General features: G+C 37.8%; 1 annotated feature.

The window, feature by feature from the left end:
• Positions 2,129–3,328: an enhancer, noted in NCBI's record as "MED14-independent group 3 enhancer chr4:86241730-86242929 (GRCh37/hg19 assembly coordinates)". NCBI's record gives its function as "activates an origin of replication core promoter dependent on BRD2, BRD4, P300/CBP and CDK7 cofactors, and independent of MED14, by STARR-seq in HCT116 cells {active_cell/tissue: HCT116}" and the evidence as "EXISTENCE:reporter gene assay evidence [ECO:0000049][PMID:35650434]".

A 12,897-nucleotide genomic window follows, 5' to 3' on the forward strand; every position in this document is an offset into this window, starting at 1 on the left:
TTTTCACATTCTTGCCCAGCAATTTTAATCAATTTCTTATTCTCTAACAGCTACACCTAATGAGTAGAGCAGCAAAACTGTTGATCAACAAGTGTTTTCTAAGGGCTGGACATCAGTCAATAGAATTTGGCCCTCTCCAGGCCTCCTTCCTGATATTAAATTGTGAGTCAGAAACCACAGGTGAAACCAACAAGTCTCAACTAAGGCTATGACTTAACAGCAAGTGTACAGGGTACCTTCAAAGAGGTGGTAAGCAGATTTTACAAAATCCAGAATATTTAAAGGTATTTCAGAGGAAGGAAGACTTAAGAAAGGAAGCTATAAGTTGTTCATGCAGGGGAAGAGAATCAGCAAATGACAAAAGTCACACAGATATTAACCAAAAAGTACTCATTCCCTAAGCCAGGATTGAACCCAGGTCACCATTGTAAAATGGCAGAGACCAAAACAAAGTACTGCCATGTTGTTACAGGTTATGCTCCCAAGGACATAAAACAAGATGGAGACCTGCAGCAAAGTTTGTTACTGACCAGTTTGCTGGGCTGGCTTGAATAGAGGGCTTATCGGTTTCTAGGGATGCATTCTATCCTAAGGTACTCCTCTTTCTGATAGAAAGATAGAGAAAGACAAATTCTTGGCACAAAGTACAACAGATTCACCACAGCTTAAGACTAGCCTCATAAATCCTTTTTTTCATTAATTAAAACTTTACAGAGGATATAAACTGTGATTATATTATTCATTCAACTGGTTTGCACAGGGAGAGGGAGACCAGAAGTCTGACTGTTAAGAACTTTTACACTTTTGCTGGCGTGTCTGGCTTCTGTGTTCCCTTCCCCTGAGTTCAATTTTAAGCCAAGTAGTTTAAGGTTTAGAGAAATTAACTTTTCCCAATTTGGGTATGCATCTGAGGAGGAGTGTCCTGTGGTACAGGGACACAATTATTCATCTGCAAAAGGAAAACAGAGGAGAAAAAAGAATGTGTTTTATCCAAAGGAGTCCCAGGGATTCATGAGGTATTTGAGAAAAATACAGACTGAAGATGATTGGCTAACCATCTAGAAAGAGGGGAACAAGGAATCCCTAGTTCCTTTATCTTCCAAGCAAATAGCCAAAGTATGTGAGGGAGAGAAGAAGAGGCATCCCCCTTCTTTCTCCCATTTTATATCCCCAAGTCCTGGTGACCTCAGTAGGGTGCTGCCCATGGATGCCAACACAGCTTTCACCCATGTTAACAGTGAGGCCTAAGGGGTGGGAGTTATCCATATTTGCCCATGCACTGCCTCTTCCCTGCTGTGAGTAACTTTTGAGTTCCTAGATCTTGTCTATGCCATGCATGCAAGTATAACCTTCAACCATGAAGTGGGAGGGCCTATCCAGTAAGAATTAGTCATGCTCACCTGCGTTGTGCCCCATCTTCTGTTGTTGCCTCCCTCTGCATCCCTTAGATCCAGTTTTCCCTCTTATGGTTTCAACCCAAAGCCTGGAATTGAGTTTGGGACAAAAGCGTACCTCAGGGGATACATGAATTAATTTAGATTATGTCACAGATGGCTGTCACCAAATTTGCAGCCAGCAGCCTATGGGGTCACTCCTCCATTGCTTCCCTATCATAAGCAGAGTGTTAAGGTAGGGAAAAAAAAAACAAAAAACAAAAAAAAAACCTCTCTCATAGAAAAGCTCCCTGTATTCACAGGGCTATGTGCATGTGCTAACTCCTGGTATGGTTGGTATGGTGGAGAAAAGAGAAAAACAAAATAAGATGAAAAAACAGCTTAAGTGTGGGGAAGATGTCTGGGGGACAAAAAGCCTCTTGCTTTATGCAAATGGGCTCCTCCAACAGGGAGAGAAACTCTTAATTGTTTTATCCTCTTCTTGGCTTGGCCAGGGAAGGAAAGCCTCTGTGGGCACATGGTGGGAGGGGATGGTGAGCAGGAAAAACTGACCAGCTGGCTGCATGGAGCTCTTGGCCCCCAAGACCACCCTGGGGATGAGTGGTGGCTGTGTCTCATTCCTGCCCCACATGGTCATTGGATGCAGCATATGCATGTGGCAGACATGGCCATGCACCCCACCTGGTGCAGTTGGGGAGCCGCCGCTCACCCGTCTGTCCTGCATGCATACCCTTGGCTGTTGGGGTGTGGGTGGGGGATGCCTTTAGGAACAGATGGAAATCACATTGTTCTGAATTGCATATCTGATGGCTGGGCCAAATGCTCATTCTACGTAGTAATATCTCTGCAGTTTGCAGCAGCACTTTTAACATTATAAAAGAAAAGATAGGGGCCATTTCCAACCATGAAGAAAGGAAGGAAAAATCCATAGAAAAGTCTGAGGGTCTTGGCCAACTTCAGAAAAAAGGTTGAAGATGAAAAGACTTGGGGATGAGAGTGAAAGGTTTGGGTCTGCATTTACTCACCCTCCAGGTGTCTCCATATGGGCCACCAAAATAATGCAGGATTTCTACTCCTTAGTTAAGCTAGGTCCAAGTTCTTGTCTCATGACCAGGAAGAATTAAGCATGCAGACCCTAGAGAATGGGTGGAGTAGAATTTATTAAGTGAAAGGAAAACTCTCAGCAAAGAGAGGGGACCTGAAAAGCAGGTTGCCAGTTGTCCCCTTTACAGTTCAATACCCGGGCTTATGGTGTGAGTTCCTGGTGGCTCCACACCATCCTTCCTGTGCGTATGTGGGCCCTTAGACTGAGCTACTCCATATTGATTCATTTCTCTTACTGCGCATGTGTTAAGGAACTAAGTTTTCCACTTTGGGCATGTTTAGGCAAGCCCTTTGTGCAAGTTCCCTTATCTGCATAAAACACCTGGTATAAGCACTTTTGAGGTGGGTTGATGGTTCTCCAGGGACCCTTCCCTTACTGTCTGCCCAAAGCAAGCTGGCTAACTCCTTTCAATACTGTTACTAATGCTGAATTCAATGTATTATTAAGTGACTGGGTGCTATAAGCTGAGAATTATTTATTGGTAGTAAATGAAGTTCACATTGACATAATACATCATAATCTTACCTCTGCTTGAGGCTGATGTGGTAGAGTCATGCAATGTATTCCTCAAATCTCATTTCATTTCTTTCTTGGGCACATAGACAGGTTGTATTTCTTAACATTCCTTGCATTGGGAAGAATGAGCCTATGATTGAGTTCTGACCAATGGAATGCGGGCAAAAATAAAATATTCCACCTACAGGCCTGACACTTAAAAAGCCCTCTTGCCAGGTTTTAATACTCTTCTTTCCCCATTCCCATAGCTCTAGAAGGAAGATTCAGTGGAAGACTTTAAGGCCACAGGGAATGGTGGCATTGGGGAAAAAAAAAAAAAACAAAAAAAACAAACTAGTTCCCTGAGTAACTGCATGGAGTAGAGCCCTACCACACACCCCCAATCCTCTGGCAAGCTGCTTATGAAGTGAATAAAAAATTAATCTGCATTTTATTAAGCCAAGATTTTAGAACTGTTATTTATAGTAGTTAGATTACCTTCAGTAATACAGCTTGTTCATAAATTTATCATTCTTCCTAAATATTATGCCTACCATTCAGAGATCAACTGTGGGCTTTGAATTCCAGGCTTAGCAAAAAATGGCAATTAGGTTTTACCTTATTAGCCAATTATAGGATTTATTGTAGAAGGCTGAAGGTTAACCTTAGCAGATTTTTGCCAAGCTATCTTTAATTTCAGAGGATAAAGGAGATCAAATCTGTTAGTGTCCTTTATCAGGGGCAAAGGAAAGAAAAATAGTGGTGTAACTGTCACATATTGGCAATCCCTGGATAGGACAATTAAACTTTTTGAAGGCATTGATAAGACAGAACTGTGAAATAAGACAGAATTGTGAGATAAGCCTAGGATGCAGTCAAAATTACTTTTCTTACAGTAACAATATAGTTTACTATTGTGACTGCATAATTATAGAGCAAATCCTAAATTTTAAGATCCAGAACTTGTTTTTGTTGAATGAATAAATGAATAGAGATTCCCAGTGTTTGCCTTCTAAGAAAACCTTCTTTTAAAATTAGTAGTTTCCCTGGTGGTCTAGTGGTTAGGATTCAGTGCTCTCTCATAAAATAAGTAGTAAAGAAAGATTACAAATTTATACATGGGTGTCAGCTTCATGATTATTTTTTGTGCTATCAATTATTAGATTTTGAGCTCCATGAGGACAAACATCTTTGTCTGTTTTGGTCCCACCTGTATTCCCAACACCTAGAAGAATGCCTGATACATTGGAGGGACTTAATTAAATATTTGTTGAATCAATAAATGCAGTTTAAATTCACCTTATTCTGAGTTTGATTTGTTTCTAGAAACAAAGATCTTTCTATGCTGTGTTTATAGTTGACCGTACTTCCACGCTTAATATCACAGGTCTTGTAGGTTGGTTGTTTGTTTAATTGGCTATTTATTCATATCAGAGAAAGGAATTATTCTTAATGTGGAAGGGACCCTAGAATCAAATTATACAGACCACCATTTGTGCTTCTTTATCTCTGAAGCATTTAGTTCTGTAAGCAAAAAAAAAAAAGAAAGAAAGAAAAGAAATTTTGTATAACGGCATTATGCAAAAGCATCACTGACCCTTCCTGGAAACATGTGCTTCTGAATTAAATAAATAATGTGTACATAAATATAAACATATATACTATTAGTAAAGGGCATTGTTGTCCTTTGATGTTATTCCATAGTTTTAAAAAAATTCTAAGCAGACATAAATCATGAGGTTTTTTCACACTGAAAAAAATAAAGAAAGCTCAGTGCTAAAATCACCTGCAGGGCCAGCTTGATGGGCACGCAGTCTGTACAATTGCCCTACCCTTGGTTAATGTTCTTAAAAATCTCAATAATTTTTGTTCAAAGGACCTCATGTTTTCAATTTGCACTGCACTTGCAAATTAGGTAGCCAGCGCTGATCCTGTAGCATCTTCTAAAATAGACCTTATGGATAAGCAGGGCATTTCCTGTCCCAGAACAGTTGCCCAATAGCAAAAATGGATTTTTGAGTGAATAAATTGATAAATAAAAATGTTTTAATGGCATAGCATAAAAACACAAACACTTGTATCTAACAGTCAAGCAGAAGAGGTTCTTACTCAAATTAAGAAGTGGAGGCAGAAAGAGTGAAGGGTGAGAAAAGGGCACTCAGAAGTTCTTTTCTATCCAAATCCATGAGAGCACAAAGTTGACCATAATTTCATTGCCTATGAAGCCAAGTAAAAGAAAATAAACCCTTACTTGTAAAAGCAAATCAATATCTTTTAACTTTTGCTATTCTTAATGGATAGCTGCAATATACTCAAACACATTCAAGAGTTTATAAGACATTCCGTTGAAAATCATTTTCTCTTATCAAATTTAGACAGGTTCTTTTAATTTGAATGAACACTACTTCTTTTGTGTAAATAGTGTATTATAAATTGTAATGTTATTATTTGAGGTTTTATAGAATCGTATTTTCTGTGAATCTTAATTTTGGAAAAATATCATCTTCTTAACCTGCCTGATATTTGGCAACATACTGGCAGAAAATAAACTTGAAACTCAGGAAGGTTGGCATTAGATCAATAACAGGAATGAAAAGAAATCTCAGTCCAATCTCAGAAATTTAGATCTACCATGTAGATGTGTTGTTTTCAGCACAATATCATACATTGTTTTGTGCAAATTATAGTCATACCTAATAAGCTAAAAGTTGGCATATCATCATCAAACAGCTTTTGCACAGCTACTGAAAATAGCACTGATTGAAGTGGCATGGATTTGCTTAGCTTGGGTTGTAATCGATTTGATGTCTATCCAGCCATGTTGAGAGACTAATAGTCCTGCAATTGCCTGCCTTTACCTCTGCATTCCTGACCATCTGCTGAGAGGAGTCAGGTAATGGGTTTTGTCACATTTCAGACCTATTATTTCTGCCTGGCCTAGAAGTATTTTCTACAAAAGCAATAATGTCTGCATGTGTTTAGACATTAAGGTTAGTTTTACATTTAACTTCTCAGTAATTTGACTAAGGTCAAGAATCTGATTACTTTTCATACTAAACGTATCTGATTACTTTTCATACTAAAAGTATCTGATTACTGTTAGTAGATACTAATTTATAAATTGTATTTTCGCTAGAGGGATATCATTTATTTTGGAAGAAATAAATGATCTCTTCAATCTCTAACTTGATGACTAATCTAATAGAAAGTTCCCACACAATAATAATGGGAGACTTTAACACCCCACTGTCAACATTAGACAGATCAACGAGACAGAAAGTTAACAAGGATATCCAGGAATTGAACTCAGCTCTGCACCAAGCGGACCTAAAAGACACCTACAGAACTCTCCGCCCCAAATCAACAGAATATACATTCTTCTCAACACTACACCACACTTATTCCAAAATTGACCACATAGTTGGAAGTAAAGCACTCCTCAGCAAATGTAAAATAACAGAAATTATAACAAACTATCTCTCAGACCACAGTGCAATCAAACTAGAACTCAGAGTTTAAAAACTTAAAAACTCACTCAAAACCACTCAACTGCATGGAAACTGAACAACCTGCTCCTGAATGAAAAGTGGGTATATAATGAAATGAAGGCAGAAATAAAGATGTTCTTTGAAACCAACGAGAACAAAGACACAACATACCAGAATCTCTGGGACACATTTAAAGCAGTGTGTAGAGGGAAATTTATAGCACTAAATGCCCACAAGAGAAAGCAGGAACGATCTAAAATTGACACCCTAACATCACAATTAAAAGAACTAGAGAAGCAAGAGCAAACACATTCTAAAGCTAGCAGAAGGCAAGAAATAACTAAGATCAGAGGAGAACTGAAGGAAATAGAGGCACAAAAAACCCTTCAAAAAATTAATGAATCCAGGAGCTGGTTTTTTTAAAAGATCAACAAAATTGGTAGACCACTAGCAAGACTAATAAAGAAGAAAAGAGAGAAGAATCAAGTAGATGCTATAAAAAATGATAAAGGGGATATCACCACCGATCCCACAGAAATACAAACTACCATCAGAAAATACTATAAACACCTCTATGGAAATAAACCAGAAAATCTAGAAGAAATGGATAAATTACTGGACATGTACACCCTCCCAAACTAAACCAGGAAGAAATTGAATCTCTGAATAGACCAATAACAGGCTCTGAAATTGAGGCAATAATTAATAGCTTACCAACCAAAAAAAGTCCAGGACCAGACAGATTCACAGCTGAATTCTACCAGAGGTACAAGGAGGAGAAAGTACCCTTCCTTCTGAAACTATTCCAATAAATAGAAAAAGAAGGAATCTTCCCTAACTCATTTTATGAGGCCAGCATCATCCTGATACCAAAGCCTGGAAGAGACACAACAAAAAAAGAGAATTTTAGACCAATATCCCTGATGAACACCGATGCAAAAATCCTCAATAAAATAATGGCAAACCAAATCCAGCAACACATCGAAAAGCTTATCCACCATGATCAACTGAACTTTATCCCTGGGATGCAAGGCTGGTTCAACATATGCAAATCAATAAACGTAATCCAGCATATGAACAGAACCAACAACAAAAACCACATGATTATCTCAATAGATGCAGAAAAGGCCTTTGACAAAATGCAACAGCCCTTCATGCTAAAAACTCTCAATACATTAGGTATTGATGGGACATATTTCAAAATAATAAAAGCTATTTATGACAAACCCACAGTCAATATCATACAGAATGGGCAAAAACGGGAAGCATTCCTTTTGAAAACTGGCACAAGACAGGGATGCCCTCTCTCACCACTCCTATTCAACATAGTGTTGGAAGTTCTGACCAGGGCAATCAGGCAGGAGAAGGAAATAAAGGGTATTCGATTAGGAAAAGAGGAAGTCAAATTGTCTCTGTTTGCAGATGGCATGATTGTATATCTAGAAAACCCCATCGTCTCAGCCCAAAATCTCCTTAAGCTGATAAGCAACTTCAGCAAAGTCTCAGGATACAAAATCAATGTGCAAAAATCACAAGCATTCTTATGCACAAATAACAGACAAACAGAGAGCCAAATCATGAGTGAACTCCCATTCACAGTTGCTTCAAAGAGAATAAAATACCTAGGAATCCAACTTACAAGGGATGTGAAGGACCTCTTCAAGGAGAACTACAAGCCACTGCTCAATGAAATAAAAGAGGATACAAACAAACGGAAGCACATTCCATGCTCATGGGTAGGAAGAATCAATATCGTGAAAATGGCCATACTGCCCAAGGTAATTTGTAGATTCAATGCCAATGAATGTGAAGAATGACTGTCTTCACAGAACTGGAAAAAACTACTTTAAAGTTCATATGGAGCCAAAAAAGAGCCAGCATTGCCAAGTCAATCCTAAGCCAAAAGAACAAAGCTGGAGGCATCACGCTACCTGACCTCAAACTATACTACAAGGCTTCAGTAACCAAAACAGCATGGTACTGGTACCAAAACAGAGATATAGACCAATGGAACAGAACAGAGCCCTCAGAAATAATGCCACACATCTACAACTATCTTATCTTTGACAAACCTGACAAAAACAAGCAATGGGGAAAGGATTCCCTATTTAATAAATGGTGCTGGGAAAACTGGCTAGCCATATGTAGAAAGCTGAAACTGGATCCCTTCCTTACACCTTAAAGAAAAATTAATTCAAGATGGATTAAAGACTTAAATGTTAGACCTAAAACCATAAAAACCCTAGAAGAAAACCTAGGCAATACCATTCAGGACATAGGCATGGGCAAGGACTTCATGTCTAAAACACCAAAAGCAATGGCAACAAAAGCCAAAATTGACAAATGGGATCTAATTAAACTAAAGAGCTTCTGCACAGCAAAAGAAAATACCATCAGAGTGAACAGGCAACCTACAGAATGGGAGAAAATTTTTGCAATCTACTCATCTGACAAAGGGCTAATATCCAGAATCTCCAATGAACTCAAACAAATTTACAAGAAAAAACAAACAACCCCATCAACAAGTGGGCAAAGGATATGAACAGACACTTCTCAAAAGAAGACATTTATGCAGCCAAAAAACACATGAAAAAATGCTCATCATCACTGGCCATCAGAGAAATACAAATCAAAACCACAATGAGATACCATCTCACACCAGTTAGAATGGCAATCATTAAAAAGTCAGGAAACAACAGGTGCTGGAGAGGATGTGGAGAAATAGGAACACTTTTACACTATTGGTGGGACTCTAAAGTAGTTCAACCATTGTGGAAGTCAGTGTGGCGATTCCTCAGGGATCTAGAACTAGAAATACCATTTGACCCAGCCATCCCATTACTGGGTATATACCCAAAGGAATATAAATCATGCTGCTATAAAGACACATGCACATGTATGTTTATTGTGGCACTATTCACAATAGCAAAGACTTGGAACCAACCTAAATGTCCAACAATGATAGACTGGATTAAGAAAATGTGGCACATATACACCATGGAATACTATGCAGTCATAAAAAATGGTAAGTTCATGTCCTTTGTAGGGACATGGATGAAGCTGAAAACCATCATTTTCAGCAAACTATTGCAAGGACAAAAAACCAAACACCGCATGGCATGTTCTCATTCATAGGTGGGAATTGAACAATGAGAACATGGACACAGGAAGGGGAACATCACACACGGGGTCCTGTCGTGATGTGGGGTGAGGTGGGAGGGATAGCGTTATGAGATATACCTAATGTAAATGATGAGTTAATGGGTGCAGCACACGAACATGGCACATGTATACATATGTAACAAACCTGCACATTGTGCACATGTACCCTAAAACTTAAAGTATAATAAAAAAAGTATAAATTAAAAAAAAAGAAAGTTCCCAGTCCATTCTGCTGCTACTGCCTTGATATTCTGCTTTCAGAAAGCGACACTTTCAGATTAAGTTGAAATATTGTCTTGATGGCTGACAATTGCTACTAATTTCAATTTTAATGGAAAAAAATAACTAAAATAAGATATTGATTCAATTTTGAAACTATATTTCCTTGGAAAAGGTTTGTCTCACTTATTACAAATTACGAGTTATTTGGCTGTGTGCTGTTCCTATACATTTTCTCTCTGAATGTTTTAAACAAAATTAATGAAATAAGAATGCTAAGTTTCTGGTTTCTAATATACTTTAACAGAGCAATTAAACATAGATTTTTAATATGAAGTTTTTACTATTTATTGCAAGAAATAAAAAATCTCTTATACATCTAATTATCTTAAGATATTAATACACCTCTAATGTTTTATTTTTTAGAATACATATATGTAGTTTTCCTCTTATTTCTTATTTATTATGCTATAGCTTAATATTAAATATTGCTTCAAATATGGAAGAGCAGTAAAAATAACTTTATTCTTACTTGAGTCTATTTTTATTGCTCCGTAAATATATTTATTAATGGTATTTTTTATTTCAGCAATTATAGAATTCACTTTTTGTCATGAACCCTGTATCAGAAACATAACAGAAAAAAAATAGGACTAAGAATCAGAAAAGAAGGGAAATATGATGTTTTATGAGATTCTGGAAAACTGCTACATTGAACTGAACATTCAGGCACTCATCATGTAATGATGCAATAACATGTCCTTTCATGGGAACAAAGGGTAGTAAAAATAATATCAATTATTTTTAAGCAATTGATATTTATATTTAAGCAATATTTATATTGATGTCTTATATTTAAGCAATAAGACAATTATTCTTAAGCAAGGTCACCCAACATAACTCTTCCTTTCCCTATAATCTGCCTGCAAATATATGCTAAATGATAACAAATAATAAGTAAAAACCTTCTATGAAACTCCTTTTTTTAAGGAATCACACTTGTTTACTCTTTTGATAAGCATGTTTCTCTAATTTATTTAGGGAGACATTATGTCCTTTGTCTGCAAAAACAATTAAAAAGAAACATATAATGTTATTTTACCAGGGGTCAAGTTCTAATTGGATTTTACCACGATAAAAAATATAATTCATGGCCAGGCATCGTGGTTCAGGCCTGTAATCCCAGCACTTTGGAGGCTGAGGCAGGCGGATCATGAGGTCAGGAGATCGAGACCATCCTGGCCAACATGGTGAAACCCCATCTCTACTAAAAGTACAAAAATTAGCTGGGCATGGTGGCACGTGCCTGTAATCCCAGCTACTCAGGAGGCTGAGGCAGGAGAATCACTTGAACCCGGGAGGCAGAGCTTGCAGTGAACCAAAACGCACCACTGCACTCCAGCCTGGGGACAGAGTGAGACTGTGTCTCAAAATAATAATAATAAAAATATATAAAATTCATTTTCACCGAGGCCCTAAAATTGTATACCAGGGAAAAATCAAAAGACTGGGAATGTTCTTTTGTTGCCAAGAAGGAACTCTGGATTAAAAATTCCCCCAAGTAGCTTAGTTATAGTCAGGAAATCCCTTTCTTCTAATCCTATCCTTAACCACCATGCTAGAAACATAAGCTTCAGGGCCCAGAACCACTTGCATCACCGAATATTTAAACATTTCAGCCAAAAGTTTTAAAAAGTGTGTATAACAACTAAATATTGCTTGAACTTAACATTTCATAGGAAATCAGCCTATGTGACCACTTTACAAGTTCTATTTCTTGATTTATCCTAAAATTTGTATTTTATTATTATTTTGCAAAATAAAATATGGAATCTTCCCTTTCCTTTGTAGCTAGGAGGAGATGACATGGAGGTTGAGGACATGGGGTGGTGAGAGAGGTTGAGGAACCCCACGGAGGCAAGGGCCCAGAGGAGGAAGCTGTGTAGAGATGGAGAGCTGTCATAACTCAATGATACAACCCATACTACAGCACTCAGCAATGCAGTCTTTGACCAAATGTAATCCCTCCATAAAATGTGAGATTTTATTGGGGTTTTTGGAGGAGGCATCCAGAGAACAGCACCCTTCTTTTCCACCTGGATTCTTAAAAAGTAGTTGGGAAATAAATCAAAAGTAGCAAATGGGGGAAAAATATTTCTTTTTGTTTGTTTGTTTTCTACTAATAGAGGCCAGACTGAGCATGTGGTTTTAGGTTTGGTAGCCAAATAAATTCGGTAATTCTGAAGCCCAGGATGGATTTGATTTCTTGGCCCAGTGAAAGAAGGAAGGGACCATGGCAAACAAAGACCCAGAGGAGGGGTAGAAGTCATGGTGCTCAGGAGCAGCTCGCTTCCCAGATCAAGAAGAAATGATGCTTGCCATGCATATTCTAGTTTATTCTCCCCAGATTTACCAATCACATCTCTACCTCTCACGGGACTATGTAAAGTGTGGAGAGAGGCTAGGCCTATGCTGAAGAATAATCCTTCCTCATGTCCACTCCAAGTGGGGAAACATTATTCCCCTCTAAAATTGATTTACATAGGGAGGGAGGAACCAGGTCATAATGAACTTTCTATAATATAGCAGGATTTAGATTGTAAAGGAAAGGCAATGGGTACTTATTAAATAACTTTTTTAAGAATAGAGGCAAGAGAAACAGATTTGACTTTCAGAAAAATTATTCTGGAATGGTACACTGTAGAGGATCAATGGGAATGGGGCTTGGGGAAAAGAACAAGAGGGTCATTTAGGAGACTCCCCCCATCTTAGCTAGGATTATGAGAATCTCAGTTAAGATAATTGCTAAAGGATTAAGAAAAGTATTCTGATTTGGGCATGTACAGTGTAACTATAGGATCATGGCAATCATCAAAAATCAACTCACACAATTCACTGATTTTTTGTAACCTGTACACTGAGTCTTTTGCTATAAATATAGATTGATATTAAAGTGTGACTATTACTAGGCTAGCTTCAGTTTCCTGAATAGAAATAGATAAAGATAAAATATTATTCAGTGTGCCTCAGAGTA

The sequence above is a fragment of the Homo sapiens genome, chromosome 4 (assembly GCF_000001405.40).
Source record: "Homo sapiens chromosome 4, GRCh38.p14 Primary Assembly".
NCBI lineage: Eukaryota > Metazoa > Chordata > Mammalia > Primates > Hominidae > Homo > Homo sapiens.